The 21,552-nt window shown below is 44.3% G+C and overlaps 2 long non-coding RNA genes across 3 annotated transcripts, besides 2 other annotated features; one reads left to right on the forward strand and one right to left on the reverse strand.

Moving 5' to 3' along the window:
• Positions 1 to 77: 77 nt before the first annotated feature.
• On the reverse strand, positions 78 to 5,405 carry LINC01108 (long intergenic non-protein coding RNA 1108). 2 transcript variants are annotated; one of them, NR_108096.1, is made up of 3 exons: positions 5,007 to 5,405; positions 3,896 to 4,131; positions 78 to 3,139 (listed from the first exon to the last, which is right to left on the reverse strand). It is a non-coding gene; the product is annotated as a long intergenic non-protein coding RNA 1108 (long non-coding RNA). The 2 variants fall into 2 exon arrangements; NR_108097.1 differs by lacking the exon at positions 3,896 to 4,131.
• Positions 5,406 to 5,771: 366 nt separating this feature from the next.
• Positions 5,772 to 12,317, forward strand: LOC124901266 (uncharacterized). Its single transcript, XR_007059465.1, has 2 exons — positions 5,772 to 10,019; positions 12,038 to 12,317. It is a non-coding gene; the product is annotated as an uncharacterized LOC124901266 (long non-coding RNA).
• Positions 16,809 to 17,477: an enhancer, noted in NCBI's record as "OCT4-NANOG-H3K27ac hESC enhancer chr6:14297089-14297757 (GRCh37/hg19 assembly coordinates)". NCBI's record gives its function as "activates a minimal SCP1, AML or CMV promoter by ChIP-STARR-seq in naive and primed H9 embryonic stem cells {active_cell/tissue: H9 hESC(naive and primed)}" and the evidence as "EXISTENCE:reporter gene assay evidence [ECO:0000049][PMID:30033119]".
• Positions 18,676 to 19,201: an enhancer, noted in NCBI's record as "H3K27ac hESC enhancer chr6:14298956-14299481 (GRCh37/hg19 assembly coordinates)". NCBI's record gives its function as "activates a minimal SCP1, AML or CMV promoter by ChIP-STARR-seq in naive H9 embryonic stem cells {active_cell/tissue: H9 hESC(naive)}" and the evidence as "EXISTENCE:reporter gene assay evidence [ECO:0000049][PMID:30033119]".

Here is a 21,552-nt window from a genome sequence, read left to right on the forward strand (position 1 = left end):
CACCTATAATGTAACAATCACTGTTCCCTACTGTCTTAGTCTGTTTGTGCTGCTATAATGAATGACCACGACCTGGGTGGAGTAGACAACAGACATTTATTTCTCACAGTTCTGGAGGCTGAGAAGCTAGAGATCAGGGTGCCAGCATGGCTGGGTTCTGGGAAGGGATGGCTTCTATTATGTCCTCACTTGGCCTTTCACTGGTGATTGCAGGCAGAGAGGGAGCAAGGGATCTAGTGTCTCATCCTCTTGATAAGGTCACTAATCTCATTATGAGGGCCCCACCCTCATGCCCTCATCTAACCCTAATCACATCCCAAAGGCCCCACCTCCTAATACCAGCACAGTGGGGATTAGGGCTTCCACATATGGATTCTGGGGGCTACAAACATTCAGCCCCATGGCACAGGCCACAGAGAAGCAAGGATAATTGAGGACCACGAGGTCCTCTGGGACTCACGGTTCATAGAGAGACAGATAAAGAAGCAAGTACAGTGTTTGGAAAACAAACAAAAACCTACAAAGAGTTCTAGAGGATTGTAGAGGGAATGACCCTTTTCATAAGCAAAGATCAAGGGGCTGGAAGGATGTGTGACATTTAGGAAACGGTGCCCAGTCTGACTATAATGGTGGTGGCTGCTGCGCCTTCGGCCCCCTTTGCCTATGCCATTGCACAGTTGCTGCTCCGATTATGATTGTCACGCCTGGCCTCACTAACCAGTTGTCTTGGGACATGGTTCTGCCCGGCGAATGCCGCCTCTACAACCTGTGCTTTTTCCAAGGTCTTCTTGAGGAGCCAAAACAAGCTCCCCAGAGACAAGAAAAGAGCATACACTGAGGACCGCCCGCTCTCTCCTGGTGACATATCAGACTGGTGTCTGAGGAGGGTGCACTCTCCTGCCACCTGCAGGACACGGGGCCACCCTTGGGATGTGCCTGGTGCAGGAATGCTGGGGCGAAGGGGACTTCACTGGGCAGAGGGAGCCTTTGGGTATGGGAGGGTCTGGGGTAGAGGTGGTGGACCTCATCGGTCATCACAGACGTGCCCTGGGGATGCTGGCGCCACTCCAGCCGCGTGGTGGGCAGGCATCAGAGATCCATTCTAAAAAGATAAACAAGGCATGGATTTGGGAGTGTGGGAGGCAGGAAGGCCGCGTCCCGAGCCATCAAATGCAACGGCGCCTTGATGTGAAGTAGGGGAGACTGAAGGCAGAAGTGTCCCCTCTGCCTTGCTGAAAACTGGAGCTGCTGGGTGAAGACAGGGTGATTACCCACGTCTGACTTTCCTTTTTATATCTGGGGTGCCAGGGCTTAACGATCCCTCCCCCTACCCCCATTTCTCCAGGAAGCCTTGAAATCCTTTGCCAAGCAGGGCACCAGAGTTCCTGGGGCTCGTCTGCAAATTAGGTCCTCACCAGCATCCTCCTTTCATTGTGGGACCTTCTCATTTCTGCGGCATTTTCCATCACACCAAAACCTAAGACTAAGTACCCTCACCATCCTAATGTACCTAATGATTGTCTACACCTCCTGAAGTTTCCTGTCACCTTCTCTTCAAGTAGCTTTGCCATTAACTGGGTCCCTTTAAGCAGGTTGCTGAATCCCAGTTTTCACTTCTATAGCAAGAAGGACTAGAATCAGATAATTTCTAAGATCCCTACCAGGTAAAGAGGAGAATACCAGCATCCACTCAGACTTTTCCTACACATATTGGCTCCTGTAGAAAGTAAATTGAAAGGAAACGGGAAGGAGAGACGGCACGTATTGAATTTCTCATTAGCCCCACTGCCTGGTTCTCATTAGTGAGCCTTCCGGGTTACAGGCACAAGGGCCAGGACTTATTTTCATGGCTGAATAGCACATGTGAAATGTAGGCGATTTCTAATCCATATTATATGAGCTCCACACTTTGCTATCTTATAAAGTAATGGGCAACGCTCAAGGAAAACCCCATCAGAATGACGGGCTAATCCTTCAGGGGGAAAATATTGCTGTTCTGCATAAGCTTTGGCTCTCTGCTTAATTAATCCCTAAAACTTTCAGGCCTTAATGAGAATAATTAGACTTGACAGTACTGAGCTTAATGCACAACTACAGACAACAAAAACCGTGTTCGGTTTATAAGCTTCCCAGAGCTTGCTGAAAGACAGGCTAATGTTATTTACAGCGGCCCCAGTGAGGGGCCGGACGAAGGTTCGGACTGGAAATGTGCTTGGCTCTCCCTGAGGACAATTTCTCTGAGGAACGGGGTACTATAGCCCCCTTTTGTGGCTTTCCCTCCATAACAAACCGTGGTCTAGACAGGATCTGGCTAGAAATTCCCTTATTACCACCCCGGCCAGACTCCATTTATCATCACCTTGAACGTAATGCTCGCGCAAAACCTCCAGGCCTCTCCCGTTCACATAACGAATCGAGGGAGGCAGAGCTCTTACGGCGCTCCAGCCAGTGTCTGCCTGCTTCTGGAAATACCTCATCTTCCAGAAAAGCATTCATTTGTCAACAGAGGGATAATGCTAAAACCTTAAAGACAAATCGGCCAGAAGGCAGGGATGGGAGAAGCAGGCAGGGTACAGCCCGGGAGAGACGGCAGCTTTGCCTCGGTGCAGTTATTTGATTTGTTAGCCTTGTGCCAGCCTCAGTCTTCTCCAAGAAGAGGTTTAAATCTCTTCTTGAAACGGTTTGAGCGTACACTCCCCAAACAGAGAGTCCAGAAGTATCCCTCCGGCGCTGCAGGGATGACCAAGTTAATTTTGTCTGTAACCGTGAGAGGCTTTTCAATGAGGGGCCAAATAACTGCACAGATTCTGGGTGTTGGGTGAAGCCTGTCCCCAAACTTGGGCGAAGCTGTTGGAGCTGGGCGTGCAGACTCGAGCAGGACAAACCGTCCCACCTGGTGAGATGACATCAGGAGTCCTTAGGAATAGGGATGGATTTCTGCACATTCCATTGGTGCTGATTATCACAGGAGATATGAAAGTGGCGATCAAAGCTACCTTAACCATCCTCGAGATTATAACAAAAGTGATAATGTCCATATGGAGATTCTTCTCAGAAATGAGAAACCGCAGATAAGCAAAATGACTGTCCAGTGCTTCTCAGTTTGGACATAATCTATGAGTTCAGAGTTCTTGCAGATCTAAGGAGATGAAAAGAAAAGGGTGCAACATTGGGATTCAGAAGCCAACATGTTACCTTTTTAAAAACAGAAATCAATACACACACGTGCCTGTGTACACACACACACACACACACAAAGCAATGTGAGGACAGGAACTTTGACCCTGGAAATGGCACCAGGCTAGAGAGCTTTGTTTTTAATTTTCAATCAAGGATTTAAAACAGACTTCAAAGGGCATTTAAGCTGACAGTTTTATTTGCTCCTTGAGGAAGAGGAAAGATGAATAAGCGTAAAGACAGATCATTCGCAAAATAATTGCAGCCCTGACATATCTAAATGAGTTTGTAAAAGAAAATACAGTGGCAATTGATCTTATTAATTAGAGATGTACCACGATGGTAATACCCACTTATCCACAGATTGCCTGCAGCTACAAAAATAAAATAAAATAAAATAAAATAAAATAAAATAAAATAAAATTAACCACTTTCTCCTGGAGAACACAATTTCTTTCCCTCCCTGCCATAGAAAGTCATCTGGGAAAAAAATCCCTGGTGATCTCTTCTCTTCACAGTGGTTAACAGCCCTTAGAGGGCAGTGTGGATGGGTTTCCTTTCTGCCCATGGAGGTTTGGGTTTATACTGGATTGCACAATGCCTTGCATGGTACAGTGGCTTGTCGCAATTGATCGAACATGTAATCTGACAAACAAACAAACAAAAATGGGCTACAAAAAAGAGAGAGCTGCTTTTTAAGCCTGTATGTGTCATTTACCTGTGACGAACAGCAGTAAGCGCGATGGTAGGCCCGACTCTCTCCATTGCTCATTCTGTCTCTGCTCTTTCCATTATCTTATTTCTGTGAACAATTGCTTAGCACTCGAACAGAATAGCCCAGCGATAAAACGCTGAGTGACGATTGGGTGGCAGCCACCTCTGAGTGCGGTCCAGCCCTGTGCCATTGGAGGCGAATCTTCAGGTTGCTGGATTTGAAACTTACACAAACACTCACTGTATTATTGCAGAAGAGAGAGAGAATGGAGAGAGAAAGGAAGAGGAAGAGGACAAGAAGAGGAAAGAGAGGAGGAAAGGAAGAGGTGGGTAAATAATAAATTGTTTAGCACTGGAAGAATCATCTAGTGCTACTCCAGTCATTTCAAGGGTTGTGTGTGTGTGTGTGTGTATGTGTGTGTGTATTTTGGGCACCTGTGGGCAGGGGGGATCAAAGTGGGAGTACAGGCACAACTGTGTTTATAAGGCAAGTGGGAACTAAAACCCAGCCTTTGGTGTCTCACCAAGATGGACACAGTGGCAGGGCCCTGTATCTGCCCCTCAAGGGGGAGGTTTTTACTAATTTGCACTAAGGCCTAGTGGGGCCAGAGGGTGAAGAGTGGTGTGATTTGAAAACAAAGCAGGGCAACAGGTTTGATATTAAAAATGACCCATTTCACCCTTGATCTTCCAACTTGTCTGGAATAGAAAAACTCATGGCCAGCAGACTCCAAGCACATATCGATATTACCCACACAAAGTTAAAAAAAAAAAAAAAGACATGAAGTAGTGAGGTGTAGTGGTGGTGTGCAGCTGTAGTCCCAGCGACTCAGGAGGCTGAGGCAGGAGGATGGCAAGTTTGAGGCTACTGGGAGCTATGATCATCCCACTGTACTCCAACCTGGGCAGCAGAGCAAGATTCTGTCTCAAAAAATAAAAGAAGGACCTGATTCTTTCAAAAGCAAAATACATTTTAATATCACTGTGACTGTGCCTTGACTTTCCTGGAGTAACAAGATTAAATTTATTATGAAATTTCAAATTAACTTTAAAGGAGGACTTGACAGCTTTTGCAGGTTGTAGGGACACCCAAGCCCATCTCACCTTTCTCTTACCTCCTGGAAGCAGCATCTTTGTTGAGGTGTGAAGAGCAAATATGGCTCATTGGTTCTTGGTGTCACCTGCTACAGGGACTCACCAGTTCTGACCTCCAAATTAGCCAGGGTGAACGCAGATGCAGGAGATGCCGTGTGAATGCTGGGGAAGGCCATGGAAAAACACAGGCCTGAGTAGCCGACAGGCCCCAGTCAGGGAAAGAAAAAGAATGCTCCCAACAGATCAAAGCCCACAGTCTCTTAAAATGGAAATGAACATTTAAAAAAGGCCTTTCTCAAGGGAGAAATATGCAGTAAATCAGAGCTTTTGAAAGACAACTGGGGCCTGTGCCGGTTTTTGAATAACTCGTCGTTTAATAAATGTTCTATTTTTGACCCTTTAGGGAAATATACAACTCCATCTGAAACTTATGAGCCAAAATAATTTAACTTTTTTTCCATCTCATTTTTATAAGTTTTGTGATGGAGACAAATGATCTGGAAGCTTTCTTTTTAAGGTTTTATGATGAAGCGAGGTCATTTAACAAGAGAGAAATGGTTTTCTCTGCACACCAGCTTTGACTCGGTGAGTGGCTAGTTAGTCCCAGCATCCGAAGTCTCAGGATCCACAAAGAGGAAGCTGTGCATGGAGTTTTGAGGAATTGTTCTTGGTTTTCTTTGTAAGGGCTTCATGAAAAGCATGTAAACAAGAGAAGAGTAGATCATCTCTTCTAATGTGTGTGTATGTGTGTGCGTGCATGTACATAGAACATTTGAAACTCTACATCGGTGACTGTACCTTGACTATATGAAACTATATGTCATGCATCCTCTGTACTGGTAAAAAGGAAGTACTTAATATATGTTGGAATTAAGTTGTTGGATGTTTTCCACATCTTTTCTAATCCCTAGGATCCTAGGCACACAGTTTGTCCACAATATATTCTCATTGTCTTGTTGTGCTGTTTTATCAAATCTTACCTATCTTCAACTGCCTTTGGACTGACACATACTGGACCTGAGAGATCAGCTTCCTGTCCACCAGAGGCTTGAATTGTTAAAAATGTTACAGGCTCATTTTACCTCTGATGAGTGGGTGCCACAAAATCTCGGGAGCAGATGTCCCTCATTTACTCACATTGCTCCGTCCCATCCCTTTCTGCTGGGTCCTGAGAGCAGCCTTCTCCCTGGCACCCAGCTGGGATTCCCACTAACCCAACTCAGGTTCAAGGGCTGAGGGAATTCAGGATCTGAGGGATGGCTCAAAGACCACATGGAGTTCAGTTTTGCATGTTTTCTTTGAGTGCCAGCCAGCAAAGACCGTGGCCTCACATAATTTTTCTGCCGGGTGTGGAATAGTGCCATAGAAAGATGATTCATGAGAAGAAATTGTCAAGTTTCTGCCTGGAACTGAATGGAAAAAAATTGGTTGAAAAAAATCCCAGACATGCACACAGAAGATACGTAGGACCAAATTTATATCTTTAGCTTTGGGAATCTACATTCATTATTTCTCTCACTTGACTTGAAAATGGGTAAAAATCTGGCCACAGTGCTCTTGTTGGGTTATAAATAAGATTTTTGTTTTTATATTAGCATCTGGCCCATAATAGTCGCTAATATTTACTTTGTGTTGCTCAGTTTATAAGGTGTTTTTTTCCTGTGTATTTAAATTGCATATTAGACCTGAATATAGGTATTTTTCTTTTACAATAAGAAAACTAAATCTTTGTGAGAGCCACATGGACAATACCAGTGTAAGTAATTTAATCCAAGCCCTCTGCATTCTTGCAACCTTTGTTTTAGCCACAAGGTGATTCTATTTGGTGATTGCATTCCAACAGCAATTCTCTGACACCAACTGGGTGTCCTACAATTCAATTCAATACATTTTGACACTAACTATCCCTATTTAACATCAGAACCCACAAGGTAAAGGGCAAGGTCCCTAATAATACTGCCCTTACTCACATACCAGCTACAAACAGGGTCCCCAGGCTACCCTCACTTCAGTCTGACTTGGCAACAAATTTAGGGGTTCCCACAACTCCCTCTGGCTCAAGAATTCAATAGAATGGCTTAGGAAACTCAAGTAAGCACTATACTTACTGTTACCATTTTATTATAAAGGATACAGATGAATAGCAAGAGAAAGAGATACACAGGGCAAGGCCTTGGGGGTAGAGGTGGGGTGCAGAGCTTCCATGGACTCCTTATGGAAGCCTTCCAAGCCTCTGGTGGACAGGAAGCTGATCTCTCAGGTCCAGTATGTGTCAGTCCAAAGGCAGTTGAAGATAGGTAAGATTTGATAAAACAGCACAACAAGACAATGAGAATATATTGTGGACAAACTGTGTGCCTAGGATCCTAGGGATTAGAAAAGATGTGGAAAACATCCAACAACTTAATTCCAGGTATGTTGCCTTCCCAGCACATGGATGCGTTCATAACCCAGGAACTTCTTGGAGCCTCTCTGTTTCAGCGTTTTATTAAGGTTCCATTATGCAGACATGATTTATTTAAATACCGGTCTTGGTGACTGAACCCAACCTCTCTAGTCCTTCTACCTTCCCCAGAGGTTCAGAGTGGGGCTGAAATTCTAACTCTTTAATCATATGGTTGGTTTATCTGGGTCTTGGTGACTGAACCCAACCTCTAGTCCTTCTACCTTCCCCAGAGGTTCAGAGTGGGGCTGAAATTCTAACTCTTTAATCATGTGGTTGGTTTATCTGGGGACCAGCTCCCATCCTAAAACTATCTAAGAGCCCTGTAATAAGTTACCTTATTAGCATAAACTCAGGTATGGTAGAAAGAGGCTTGTTATGAATAACAAGACAGTTCTATCATTCAGCAAAGTCCAAGGGTTATTGAAGCTGTGTGCCAGGAACTGGGGATAATGACCAGTTATTTTCTGTATAATGTCTGTAGTAGGCATTCCAACTAGGGCCAACAACAACACCTTCCCTTTCTGTAGGTGCAAGCTGTCCCCCACCTCAAGAGGTGGGTTTATTTTTCCCTCCCTTGAATGTGACTTGCTTTGACTAACAAAAGTGACATTCTAAAACTTCTGAGCCCAAGCCTTTCAAGAACTGGCAGCTTCTAATTTTTCTCTCTTGGAATGCTCCCTTTTGGGAGTCAGCTGTCATGCTTTTAGGAAATTCAGGTTAGATGTTTGGAAGATGAGGAGCTGTATTGAGAGAGAGCCTGAGGGATGAAAGACCATCTTGGAAGTTCCCCTCTCTGCCAAGCTCCCAGCTGAATGCAGGCAGATCAGTGATGCGAAGTATACCATATGGAGTAGAAGACCATCCTAGCTGACCTAAGTCAACTTGCAGCATTGTGATATGCCATAAATTACAGTTTTAAGCCATTACGTTTAGGCTGGTTTGTTGCACAGCAGCAGATAACTGAAACATGGACCTATTAAGATCCTTCTGAAAGTTTAGTATTTTGGCAACAAAATCTCACAAAATGTCCTTCCCAGACACACCTCAGTTATGTAGGATTCTATTATATGCAGAAGAATGTAAAAGTGAGGCTGAACATAAAAAGCTTAGAGCAACATATCCTGTATTAAAAAATTACAATATTGGATCTGATTAATTTTGATTGTGTTTTCTCCAATGTTTCTTTCACCTGTCTTCCTGTCACTCCTTTCCAGGTACTTTTCTGTGTCCTTCTGATTCACTCACTTGGTGAACCTAGTACAATAACTAACTATAAGTTCATGAAACTCCTTCCTAAACATCTATACAAGGACTTACTTTTCCAACTAGGTTTTGTTTCTCATTAGAGACACCATTTTCATTACCTACATTTTTTTGGAATTCTGTACCCAAAGACCCAACAATGCAGTGGTATTTACAGAAAAAGGAAACTTACATTCTTGTGACAAGTTTAAAAAAAGAACCTGGTTGGCAGGGTGGATCTACTTCACGCTGTCATCCAGGGACCCAGGTTTCTTGTATTACCAGCATAAGAATTAGAGTAGCTGCCATCTGCTAGGTCGATGCTGGGTTCCTATGGTTCCTGAGAGATGGAAACAGTCATGGAGAGCTCATGTGCAATATTTTGTACCAAGGTCTGGAAATGACTCATAGCACTTCTATTTTCTGTTAAGAATCTAGTCACGTGGCCACACCTGGTAATCACCAGCTGAGTAGCCATGTGCCCAGATGCCATTTTACTATTATAGAAGCCACATACTCAGCTTCCACATAATACAAAAGAAGAAAGAATAAGTTTTGGTAAATAATTAGAAATATGTGCCACAGACCATACACACCATGAAATACTATGCAGCCATAAAAAAGGATGAGCTCATGTCCTTTGCAGGGACATGGATGAAGCTGGAAACCATCATTCTCAGTAAACTATCACAAGGACAGAAAACCAAACACCGCATGTTCTCACTCATAGGTGGGAATTGAACAATAAGAACACATGGACATAGGGCGGGGAAGATCACACCCCAGGGCCTGTCATGGGGTGGGGGTCGGGGGAGAAATAGCATTAGGAGAAACACCTAATGTAAATGACCAGTTAATGGGTACAGCAAACCAACATGGCACATGTATACCTATGTAACAAACCTGCACATTGTGCACATGTACCCTAGAACTTAAAGTATAATACAAAAAAAAAATGCCCCAGACATGTCGCAGTTTTTGAAAGCAATTTTTTAAAAAGTGGAAACTGGCATTCAAAAATCTGAACAATGGCAGCGGGATCATTGTAATAATCGCTTTGGCTAACAAGCGTAATACTTTAAAGTAGTAAGAAGGCTAATCCTTTAAAGGGACGAATCTTTTGTTTTATGCATGTATAAAGTCTGAGATGTTTGTTTCAACCGTTCATTAAAGCATTTTTAGTCGTAGCTAATATTTTACCCCTTCGTGACTTCTATCTTCTTCTAGGAGCCAAGCCTAAGAAGGCATCAACTCAACAGCTTCAGGTCCCAAGGAGATGTGGTATAATTGGCACACAGCAGTTCACATTCTGCTTGCTAGCGACTTCAAAACACTCCTCAAATAAGTATGCAGAGCCATTTCCTCCTATTTTTGACTTCTCACAGCCCTATTCCACCCTTGTATTTTCACCAGTGTTAACTTGTGAGGAAAAACTAGCACCTCATCTTCTTATTTTGTGTGGCTTACAAATTGCCACATATTAAATGGACATATTTGATTTAGTAGCATACATTTAAATGTTTAAAATATGAGGAGTGTTCAGGGAATGCCATTTCACTTAGCAGTCAGTGCTAACATCATTTTTTGAAATGCTCCCCATTTCTACGATGTAGCCAAAGCTTTATTTATCATCAGATTTGCATTTTGTGATGTATTCTTGAGCCAGCCAAACTCATCTAAAAGCAAGCTCATTTAATGCAAAGTAGATTTAAATGTGACTGCTTTAAAATGGACCACCCTGTTTAAATGATCCTCCGGATGTAATTAGAAAAAACTCGAGTTCCTAGGATAGGAAAAAAAAGGGTGAACTAAATGATTTCTCTCTCCCTGGGTAATTTTTGACCACGCACCAATAAAACTGCTGATCATGAAATGATTTATTTTAAATGTAACTTTCCCACAAACGGTTTAACAGGAGGTGGTTTAGAAATGGTACACCACATTTGAGCAGACATCGAAAGTGTGTAACAAACCATGATGTTTATAGCCTTCAGCGTCCCAGACTCTTCAGACAAGAGAGAAAGAGAGGGACAAAAAGAGAAAACAGAAAGAAAGACGAAAAGAAACAAAAAACAGTAGAGTTGTGAGACAATCTATACTCCAATTTTGACTTATATTCAGAAGCATCTTGTTATCTCATGGGGGAACTCAGGCTCTGTTATCCTAACTCAATTTCCATACCAGTAGTAGTGAGTGATGGTAATGTTATTTAGGAGCTATTCACATAAAAGCTTACCATCCAAAGAGGATCTGGTAGTATTAGCATGCTTGTCAAAGCTCCCATCCTCTACACAATGAAGAACCTCGAAACAGAGCTGCCTCTTCCCAAGCCCTGATGAGGCCACGCTTGGTGCCAGCCATTAAAAATAAAAGCCCGTTAAACTTTCAGGACATGCTTCCACATTTTTGGGCACCGCCAAGTTTTCAAGATTTGAGCCAGTTCAGTGATAGTATCAGCAGACCAGCATCTCCTAGGCAATGAAAGTAGTTACCATGGAAACCCCAGAGCTGCACCCATCAACAGCTTTACAATTTTGACAGTTCAGAAAGTGACTATTTAGGAATTTCAATTAGAGCAGAAACATACACATTTAGATGAACAAAATGCTTAAAAAGTCTATAGGAAATGATTTAGATACATATAAATATATATTTTAAATCAGAAGGCAGACTCCTAAATATATTCTGCGTGTAGAAGTGAATTTCAGGAATAATGTAAAAAGCACTTGGTAACGAAAAAAGATGTTAAAGTTCTTTTATCCCTTTTCCTTCCTTGGAAAGGAAATAGGCACCAAGAATAAATAAGTTGTGAAAAATGATCAGCGGATTTTTTTAACAGGGTAGTCACAATATGCCATGCTTGTTAAGTCAGAACTTGTGCATATTATTAAGAAATATTTTAGAATTTTATATTTGCCAATTCCTCATATTTGAACAGTTCTGGCAGGGTAGTCTTTCTTACAACTCTGCTGTAAGAGCTATAACTTTTTTTCCTTTTTATAATAAAGGAAACTGAGGTTCCTGAGGATGGATGGGCTCCACACAGTGGATTCCAAATCAGGACCAGACTCAAATCACTTTGAGCCCTGGTTACTCTTTAATTCATTGGCAACAACAGCTGCTCAAATGAAAAGAGCCACATCAACAAATCTTTCAAACAGAAAGTCAGGCCCCGTTAAATAAAATATACACAAAGCCGAAAACTCAGATCTATAATAAAAGAAACAGGTCCTGTTACTAGAGATACACAATGGTAATAGCAATAATATTAATTTGCAATGGTTAATACTAATATTAATACTAATGCCAACTTCACTGCTAAGAATAGCTGTGCTAGTTATCTTGGTTTTTCTCCTCCATCAGATCCAAGCTCTATGCCCCCCCAAAACTGAACCCATGGACTGCTTCATGTGGGCTCACTTGCCCTCTGCTTCTGGCTGATTTGGCAATGGAGACATACAGAGGAGATCAGAAGGTGGGAGGAGAGAAAGGTTGGTGTGTTCATTCCTCCAATCCCCACCTTGCCTCTTGCACAGCTCCAGCCTCAGGCTAGTTCTTGGTCCTTTCACCATGCTTCATTGATTCCTGAAACCTGCTACCACCTGTGTAAATAGTATCAACATTAAATAACTCTTCAGTTAAACTCTTATCTGCACTATGTATGCCCTGCCCAGACCCGATTGTTACAATAATGAATGCTTATACAAATCCTATATAAATGCTATTTTTTTTTTTTTTTGAGACGGAGTCTCTCTGTCGTCCAGGCTAGAGTGCAATGGCCTGATCTCAGCTCACTGCAACCTCCGCCTCCTGGGTTCAAGCGATTCTCCTGCCTCAGCCTCCTGAGTAGCTGGAATTACAGGCACCCACCACCACGCCAGGCTAACTTTTTTGTATCTTTTGTAGAGATGGGGTTTCACCATGTTGGCCAGGGTGGTCTCGAACTCCTGACCTCATGATCCACCCACCGTGGCCTCCCAAAGTGTTGGGATTACAGGCGTGAGCAACCGCATCCGGCCATAAATGCTTACTCTTAACTCTGCCCCTATTCTAAATGCTTTATGTATATTTAACCTTTGCAATAACCCTATGAGGTAGATGCTGTTGCTCCACCCATTTTATAGATTAAAAAATTAAGGCAGGAACTTTGGAAATGCTTTTTGCATGGATTATTTCCTTGATCCTCATGACTCCCCTATGGGTTGAGGGTAGGGAACTGTGATACAAGACAGAAAAGTTAGGAGACAACTCAAGGGTGCTCAGCTATGAAGCCAACCTCTGTGCCTCCTTGCTCTGTGGATGTCCTCTTGCCCCGTTCTGATACTTTCCTCTGGTTTTGTCCAATTAGAGGTGTAGGATTCCATTCCATGCCATTGTTTTAAACTTCAGCTCTGGCTTTCTGTCAGGAGCCCTCACTTGGGGAACAGGAGAAAAAGGATTTGCCTGGGTAGCAGTGCTGCTGCCGATGGCAGAGAGAGGAGATGGGGCTTCCTGGCTTCTTTTGGCTCCTGGGTCCTCTCCTGTGGCTGAGTGAAAGGAATGCTCAATCCTGGTCTTGGGGTTTTCTAGTGCCCTGTGATGTTTTAAAACAAGGCAGTTAGAACCACTTTGGGGCAAGGGGATGGCAGAAAGGGAAGTAGGAGGTACTAATTAAAACCTGTGGAAAGGGTTTTAAAGTTCCCATACCAAGAAAAGTTAACATACCAAGAATATCGTTACTGCTGGTCTACAGCAACCTCTTCTCCTTGCTTGTCCCCACACCCCATGCTGCCTCACCTGCACTTCAGGTGCAAGCTGCCCCTTCGGATAATTTCCTTCTGTTTATTTCCTAAGGTTTTCTTGTTGTTCATTTTGGTTAGATGTTACCTTCTAGGGAAAGTGAAGGGGGCAGAGAATGAGTCTCGTAAGGCATGAAGTGTCCTGGGTCCAGCGCTCCACGTGGGTGGGCCTGGCCATTTTCATTAGTAATAACAGACACGCTGTACAACCATTCAGGATCAGCTACCATCCTGGGCACTGCAACAAGGAACTAACCAAACAAATAAACTAACCAATCCACAGACAAAATTCCTGACCTGGAAGGACCATGAAGGCAAAGAGGCATCTATCTCACTGGGCACTGAGACAAAGAATTCAAACCAAACCAAACCAAACCAGACTAAACCAAACAAAAACCAATGCACACAGACACACAGACACACAGACACACATACACACACACACACACCCTAGCCTGGAAAGATCCTAAAGGTAAAGAGATATCTCATTCACTATTCTTCCCCCAGAGCCTGGCCTGACACCTGTAACACAGAAAGAGTTTAATAGATAGTTGATAAATCAGTGGGTAAATAAATGATTGAATATTCTATTCACACTATAGACAAACATGATAAGTGATAAAGCATCGAAGAGGAAGAACTTGAGACAGGGTTCTACTGCTCACTCCAGGGAGTCTCTGACTGCCTAGGAATGACTGATACTGGTCTAGGACTTGCTTCTGTGTCTGCAGGACTTCCTGGAGCCTGGAAGTGGGGCTTAGCTGGGAGGCTGAAAAGGTGGGAAAAGCTCATTCATAACCCTGTGTGCCTTTCTCCAAATACCTTTGAGCTGCCAACCTGAGTCATAATTCCTCTGCCCTCCTCCAGGATCTAGAGTATGAGGCTAAAAGAGGGAGAGCCCACCCCTAAAGCAAAGGGGTACAGCCTGGTACATGCAGCAGCTTTGGGCTCCAGTCATCAAGCTGTGTCCAAGGTCGATCCACAAGTTATAGCTATGAGGAGAGCCCTCCCCTTCTCTTGATGTTTGTCCAGTGAAGAGGTCACATTTAGCAGCCTTGTGTATGGCTGACATGGCCCTAGATATCTCTCCTTCCTTTCAATGATGGCAACAGAAAGCAAGAGGCTCATTGTCTCTAGGGCCCACTCTTCCTGCTCTTCCCTCTACTTCCCACAGGCACAGGAGCCTCACCCTATGGCCACCACTACAGGCCCACAGGGAGTACTGCCAGGCTTCCACCGATGTTTGCTTAAGGCCCAAGGGCTCTTCAGTCAGATTGCAGTGGATGTTGCCAAACCTGGGACTCACCACTTCAGAGCAGTGGGCTCCCCTGTGGCCCAGCCAGGTCTGGAAATGCCATCCAAGAGCCAAGGCCTGGAGTCGGGGCCCGAAGAGCCCACATGATGCTCTTCCCACCTGTGGCTGAGCTGGTACCTAAAATGCAAGTCAGATACACTGATGACTAGTAGAACACAATATGCTAGCCTTGGTCTTGGCCATGGCTGGTTGATGTATGGGAGGTCTTAGAGCCTCCAGGTGGGCACAGGATTTGAAAGCTTAGGCTGATCTTAAGGGCTGGAATACCATTTCCTGCCCTGGGGACAGATTATGTTGACCCCCAAAATCCTGGCAAGGGGCTGGGATAGGAGCTCAGATGTGCATTATTTTTATCTCTTAAGAAAAACGGAATGACATTTAGAGCTTTCCTATGGTATTAGAGAGATAGTTGAAAAAATACATATTTAGCCAGAAAAAAAGAGTGAAGAAATACAGCACTACTTTTGCAACTGATGCTGGCCACAGACCTCAAAGCTGTTCAGCTCCTGTTATCAGACTCTCCTGTGCAGTCCTCATGTCTGTTCACCAGTGTGTTTTCCAGTGTATCTATTTTCAATTGAGAAGGGAAGAAATGATTAATCATTACTTTCAAGTAATTGTGAGGCTTTTGGACTTAAACAGCTATGACTTTTGGTTAAAAATTACCTTAAGACATTTATTATTTTGAAACAAATTGCTTCCATTATTTAAAAACTGCACATAATTCTTACACTTATCTCTAAAATGTTTACAATTATATAATGCATTTAAATGTAACTTTATTCCCAAAGCACGTTTATATTCTGGTTCATGGTCACACCACAATGCTCAGCATTCTGATGTAGCTCAGCAGAGGTACCTACCCTATCACTGAGACGCAGAGACAATCACAGACCTAGCACCACCTGGTTTCCTTGTATGAAGCAGGATTTGAACCTGAGTGTGTCTGAATCTAAAATGTGTGCTCTTGTCAACATGGTTGCATCGAGGGTTTGGTTTCCTCTAGGCACATCTGGTAAACCCCATTCTTTAGTATCATTCTAACCCCATTCAACCAGCATTCCCTCTGCCCTTAGTAGAGAGCGGGCTCTGTGCTAGCTTAGCTAGGTCAGGGGATACAGAAATGAGTAGGTCACAGTCTACTCAAGGAAATAGGCACATAAAGAAATATTTACCAATGAGTCTTCATTCTTCACCCAATTTAGCTTTGCAGCAAACCTCCAGAGCCCATATTAAAAACATCCATGGAACAGCCTACAAAACACACACATGCACAAATACACACACACACACGCACACATGTACAGGCACGTACACCAACTATTGCCCATTGGGGAAGATGAGGTCAAGTAAACTTATATGAAGCAAAAGAAAATAATTTCCTGGACCTTGTCTAATTGATTTCAAGGTTTGTGGTCCACCTTTAGATATGATGTGCAATAATTCCATCTCTCCAAGGAGGAACTCTGACGTTAGTAAAATCATTATGGGGCTCTTCTGGTATTCCCAAAGCAGTTAATGGAAGAAGGATGGACACCCAGCCTCCTCTCTCATTAGTGCCTTCAGGGTATTCAGCCAGATCAATTCCGCAGCCTTCCACCCTTTCTTCTGCAGCCTATTACTTAGTCCTTGAATGGGACCTGCTACAGGGCTGAATCTTTTAACTTTTTTTAAAAAAGACTTCATTTTTTTTTTTCCTGAGATGGAGTCTCGCTCTGTCACCCAGGCTGTAGTGCAGTGGCGTGATCTTAGCTCACTGCAACCTCCGCCTCCCGGGTTCAAGCAATTCTCCTGTCTCGGTCTCCTAAGTAGCTAGGATTACAGGCATGTGCCACCATGCCTGGCTACTTTTTGTGTTTTTAGTAGAGACGGGGTTTCACCATGTTGGCCAGGCTGGTCTTGAACTCCTGACCTTATAATCCGCCCTCCTTGGCCTCCCAAAATGCTGGGATTACAGGTGTGAGGCACTGCCCCCAGCTAAGACTTCATTTTTTAGAGCAGTTTGAGGTTCACAGCAAAATTGAGCAGAAGGTATAGAGATTTTCCATGTGTCTCCTGCCCCGACAGATGCATAGCCTCCTCCATTATCAACCCAGCCCCAACTAGAGCAGTACACTTGTAACTTTCATGTGCGTCCATGTGAAGAGACCACCAAACAGGCTTTGTGTGAGCAATAAAGCTTTTAATCACCTGGGTGCAGGTGGGCTGAGTCCGAAAAGAGAGTCAGCGAAGGGAGATAGGGGTGGGGCCATTTTATACGATTTGGGTAGGTAAAGGAAAATTACAGTCAAAGGGGGGTTGTTCTCTGGTGGGCAGGAGTGGGGGTCACAAGGTGCTCAGTGGGGGAGCTTTTTGAGCCAGGATGAGGCAGGAAAAGGACTTTCACAAGGTAATGTCATCACTTAAGGCAAGGACCGGCCATTTACACTTCTTTTGTGGTGGAATGTCATCAATTAAGGTGGGGCAAGGCATATTCACTTCTTTTGTGATTCTTCAGTTACTTCAGGCCATCTGGGCGTATACGTGGAAGTCACAGGGGATGCTATGTCTTGGCTTGGGCTCAGAGGCCTGACATTCCTGCCTTCTTATATTAATAAGAAAAATAAAACAAAATAGTGTTGAAGTGTTGGGGCGGCGAACATTTTTTGGGGGTGGTATGGAGAGAGAAAGGGCGATGTTTCTCAGGGCTGCTTCAAGCGGGATTAGGGGTGGCGTGGGAACCTAGAGTGGGAGAGATTAAGCTGAAGGGAGGTCTTGTGGTAAGGGGTGATATTGTGGGGATGTTAGAAGAAACATTTGTCGTATAGAATGATTGGTGATGGCCTAGATACGGTTTTGGATGAATTGAGAAACTAAATGGAATAACAGAAGGAGAAAAACAGGTATAAAAGGTCTAAGAATTGGGACGACTCAGGATATCTGATTAGAGAGTGCCTGAGGAGATTCAGCATAGTCCTGCCAGCAAAGATTATTTATTTACTTCAAGAGTTAAGAGTGGCAGTTTGGGGATAGCACCAGGAGATATCAGCTGTGATGGCTTGGAGAAACAGTGTAAACCGGCAGTGTAAACAAGAGCAGGGCATGTATGAGTAGTTGAAAACGGTGAATAGGCGTATGACTAGACAGAAGATAGTAGGGATGACAAGTTTTTTGGGGGCACAGTCTAAGTTGGTCTGGTGTCTGGAATGAGACTGGGGCCTAATAAAAAGGAGCATCTATATAGGAGCTTAAATGGGCTGTACCCTGTAGCATTCCGAGGACAGGCCTGACTTCTGAGAAGGGAAAGTGGTAAAAGTATTGTCCAGTCCTTTTTAAGTTGGTGGCTGAGCTTGGTGAGGTGTGTTTTTAAAAGACCTTTGGTCCGTTCTACTTTTCTTGAAGACGGAGGACCGTAAGGGATATAAAGGTTTCACTGAATACTAAGAGCCTGAAAAACTGCTTGGCTGATTTGACTAATAAAGGCTGGTCTGTTATTAGACTGTATAGAGGTGGGAAGGCTAAACTGAGGAATTATGTCTGACAGAAGGGAGGAAATGACTGTGGTGGCCTTCTCAGACCCTGTAGGAAAGGCCTGTACTTATCCAGTGAAAGTGTCTACCTAGACTAAGAGGTATTTTAGTTACCTGACTCGGGGCATGTTGAGTAAAGCTAATTTGCCAGTCCTGGGTGGGGCAAATCCTTGAGCTTGATGTGTAGGGAAGGGAGGGGGCCTGAATAATCCCTGAGGAGTAGTAGAATAGCAGATGGAACACTGAGAAGTTATTTCCTTGAGGATAGATTTCCACGATGGAAAGGAAATGAGAGGTTCTAAGAGGCGGGCTAGTGGCTTGTACTATAGTATAACTTGTCTTTGCTGGTGTGTGGCGATTAGGCCTGGTGGAACCGCCATCAATAAATCAAGCGTGATCAGGGTGAGGAACAGGAAAGAAGGAAATTTGGGGAAATGGGGTGAATATCAGGTGGATCAGAGAGATACAGTCATGGGGGTCAGGTGTGGTATCAGGAATGATGTGGGAGGCCGGATTGAAGTCTGGGCCAGGAACGATAATTGTGGGAGACTCAACAAAGAGTGAGTACAGCTGAAGGAGCGGGGGAACAGAAAGTATATGCGTCAGGTATGAGGAAGAAAATAGATTTTGGAAGTTATGAGAACTGTAGAGAGTGAGTTGAGCATAGTTTGTGATTTTGAGGGCCTCTAAAAGTATTAAAGCAGTGGCAGCCGCTGCACGCAGACATGAGGGCTAGGCTAAAACAGTAAGGTCAAGTTGTTTGGACAGAAAGGCTGCAGGGTGCGGTCCTGGCTCTTGTGTAAGAATTCTGACTGCACTAACCATGCCTAGGAAGGAAAGGAGTTGTTGTTTTGTAGAAGGTGCTTTGGTTTGAGAGATCAGTCGGACACGATTGGCAGGGAGAGCACGTGTGTTTTTATGAGAATTATGCCGAGATAGGTAACAGATGAGGAAGAAATTCGGGCTTGATTGAAGTAATGGGGGCTGTCTGTGAAGCCTTGCGGCAGTACAGCCTAGGTAATTTGCTGAGCTTCATGGGTGTCAGGGTCAGTCCAAGTGAAAGCAAAGAGAGGCTGGGATGAAGGGTGCAAAGGAATAGTAAAGAAGGCATGTTTGAGATCCAGAACAGAATAATGGGTTGTAGAGGCAGGTATTGAGGATAGGAGAGTATATGGGTTTGGCACCATGGGGTGGATAGGCAAAACAATTTGGTTGATAAGGGCAGATCCTGAACTAACTTGTAAAGCTTGTCTGGTTTTAGGACAGGTAAAATGGGGGAATTGTAAGGAGAGTTTATAGGCTTTAAAAGGCCATGCTGTAGCAGGCGAGTGATAACAGGCTTTAATCCTTTCAAAGCATGCTGTGGGATGGGATATTGGCATTGAGCAGGGTAAGGGTGATTAGGTTTTAATGAGATGGTAAGGGGTGCATGATCGGTCACCAAGGAGGGAGTAGAGGTATCTTATACTTGTGGGTTAAGGTGGGGGAATACAAGAGGAGGACGCAAAGGAGGCTTTGGATTGGGAAGAAGGGCAGCAATGAGATACAGCTGTAATCCAGGAATAGTCAGGGAAGCAGATAATTTAGTTAAAGTGTCTCAGCCTAATAAGGGAACTGGTCAGGTGGGGATAACTAAAAAGGAGTGGTTAAAAGAGTATTGTCTAAGTTGGCACCAGAGTTGGGGAGTTTTAAGAGGTTTAGAAGCCTGGCCGTCAATACCCACAACAGTTATGGAGGCAAGGGAAACGCCCTTGAAAAGAAGGTAATGTGGAGAGGGTAGCCTCCGTATTGATTAAGAAGGGGACGGGCTTACCTTCCACTGTGAGAGTTACCTGAAGCTCGGCGTCCATGATGGTCTAGGGGGCTTCCGAGGCGATTGGGCAGCGTCAGTCTTCAGCCGCTAAGCCGAGAAGATCTGGGAAGCAGTCAGAGAGCCTTGGGCCAGAGTTCCAGGGGCTCTGGAAGTGGCTGCCAGGTGAGTTGAACAGTCCGGTTTTCAGTGGGTTCCCACACAGATGGGACGCGGCTTAGGAGGAATCCCGGGCTGCGGGCATTCTTTGGCCCGGTGGCCAGATTTCCGGGATATGTAGCAAGCTCCTCGGGGAGGAGGTTCTGGAGGAACGTCTGGCTGCTGCGGTTGAGGCGTTTGGAGTTCTTGTGTGCTGGAGATGTGGCTGGGGTTTGTCTCACAGTGGAGGCAAGGAATTGCAACTTTTTTCTGTTATTGTACACCTTGAAGGTGAGGTTAATTAAGTCCTGTTGTGGGGTTTCAGGGCCAGATTCCAATTTTTGGAGTTTTATTTAATGTCGGGAGCAGATTGGGTAATAAAATGAATATTGAGAATAACACGGCCTTTTGACCTTTTAGGGTCTAGGGCTGTAAAGCGTCTCAGGGTTGCTGCCAAACGAGCCATGAACTGGGCTGGATTTTTATATTTGATGAAAAAGAGCCTAAACGCTATCTGATCTGGGATAAAGAAAAAGGAGCATTAACCTTGACTATGCCTTTAGCTCCAGCCACCTTTTTAAGAGTAAATTGCTGGGCAGGTGGGGGAGGGCTAGTCACGGAACGAAACTGCAAGCCAGACTGTGTGTGAGGAGGGGAGGTGATAAAAGGATTATAGGGTGGAGGAGCAGAGGCTGAGGAAGAATTGGGACCTAGCTCGGCCTGGCGAGGAGCAGCCTGGGGAGGAGGGGAGAGGTCAGATGGGTCTGTAGAAAAGGAAGATTAGAAAGACTCAGCGACGCTTGGGGTTGGTACTGAGGGGACAGGCGGGAGGGAAAGAAGGAAGATTTGGGACGAGTTGCACTGGGCACAGAGACTAGGAAGGGACTGATGTGTAAAAGAATGCCTGGATGTCAGGCACCTCAGACCGTTTGCCTATTTTATGACAAGAATTATTTAGATTTTGCAGGATGGAAAAATTCAAAGTGCCATTTTCTGGCTATTTGGAACTACTGTCGAGTTTGTATTGGGGTCAAGCGGCATTGTAGAAGAAAATAAGGCATTTAGGTTTTAGGTCAGGTGTGAGTTGAAGAGGTTTTAAGTTTTTGAGAACACAGGCCAAGGGAGTAGAAGGAGGAATGGAGGGTGGAAGGTTGCCCATAGTGAAGGAAGCAAGCCTAGGGAAAAGAGAGAGTAGAGAAATGGAGGGAAGGGGTTCGGGGGTTCTTACCTTCCAGAAAAGTGGGAAAAGGGGTTGGGGCGTAGAGATAAGAGGTTGGGGCATGGAAATAAGGGATTGGGGTGCAGAGATATAAGAGGTTGGGGTGTGG

The sequence above is a fragment of the Homo sapiens genome, chromosome 6, assembly GCF_000001405.40.
Source record: "Homo sapiens chromosome 6, GRCh38.p14 Primary Assembly".
NCBI classification, from domain to species: domain Eukaryota; kingdom Metazoa; phylum Chordata; class Mammalia; order Primates; family Hominidae; genus Homo; species Homo sapiens.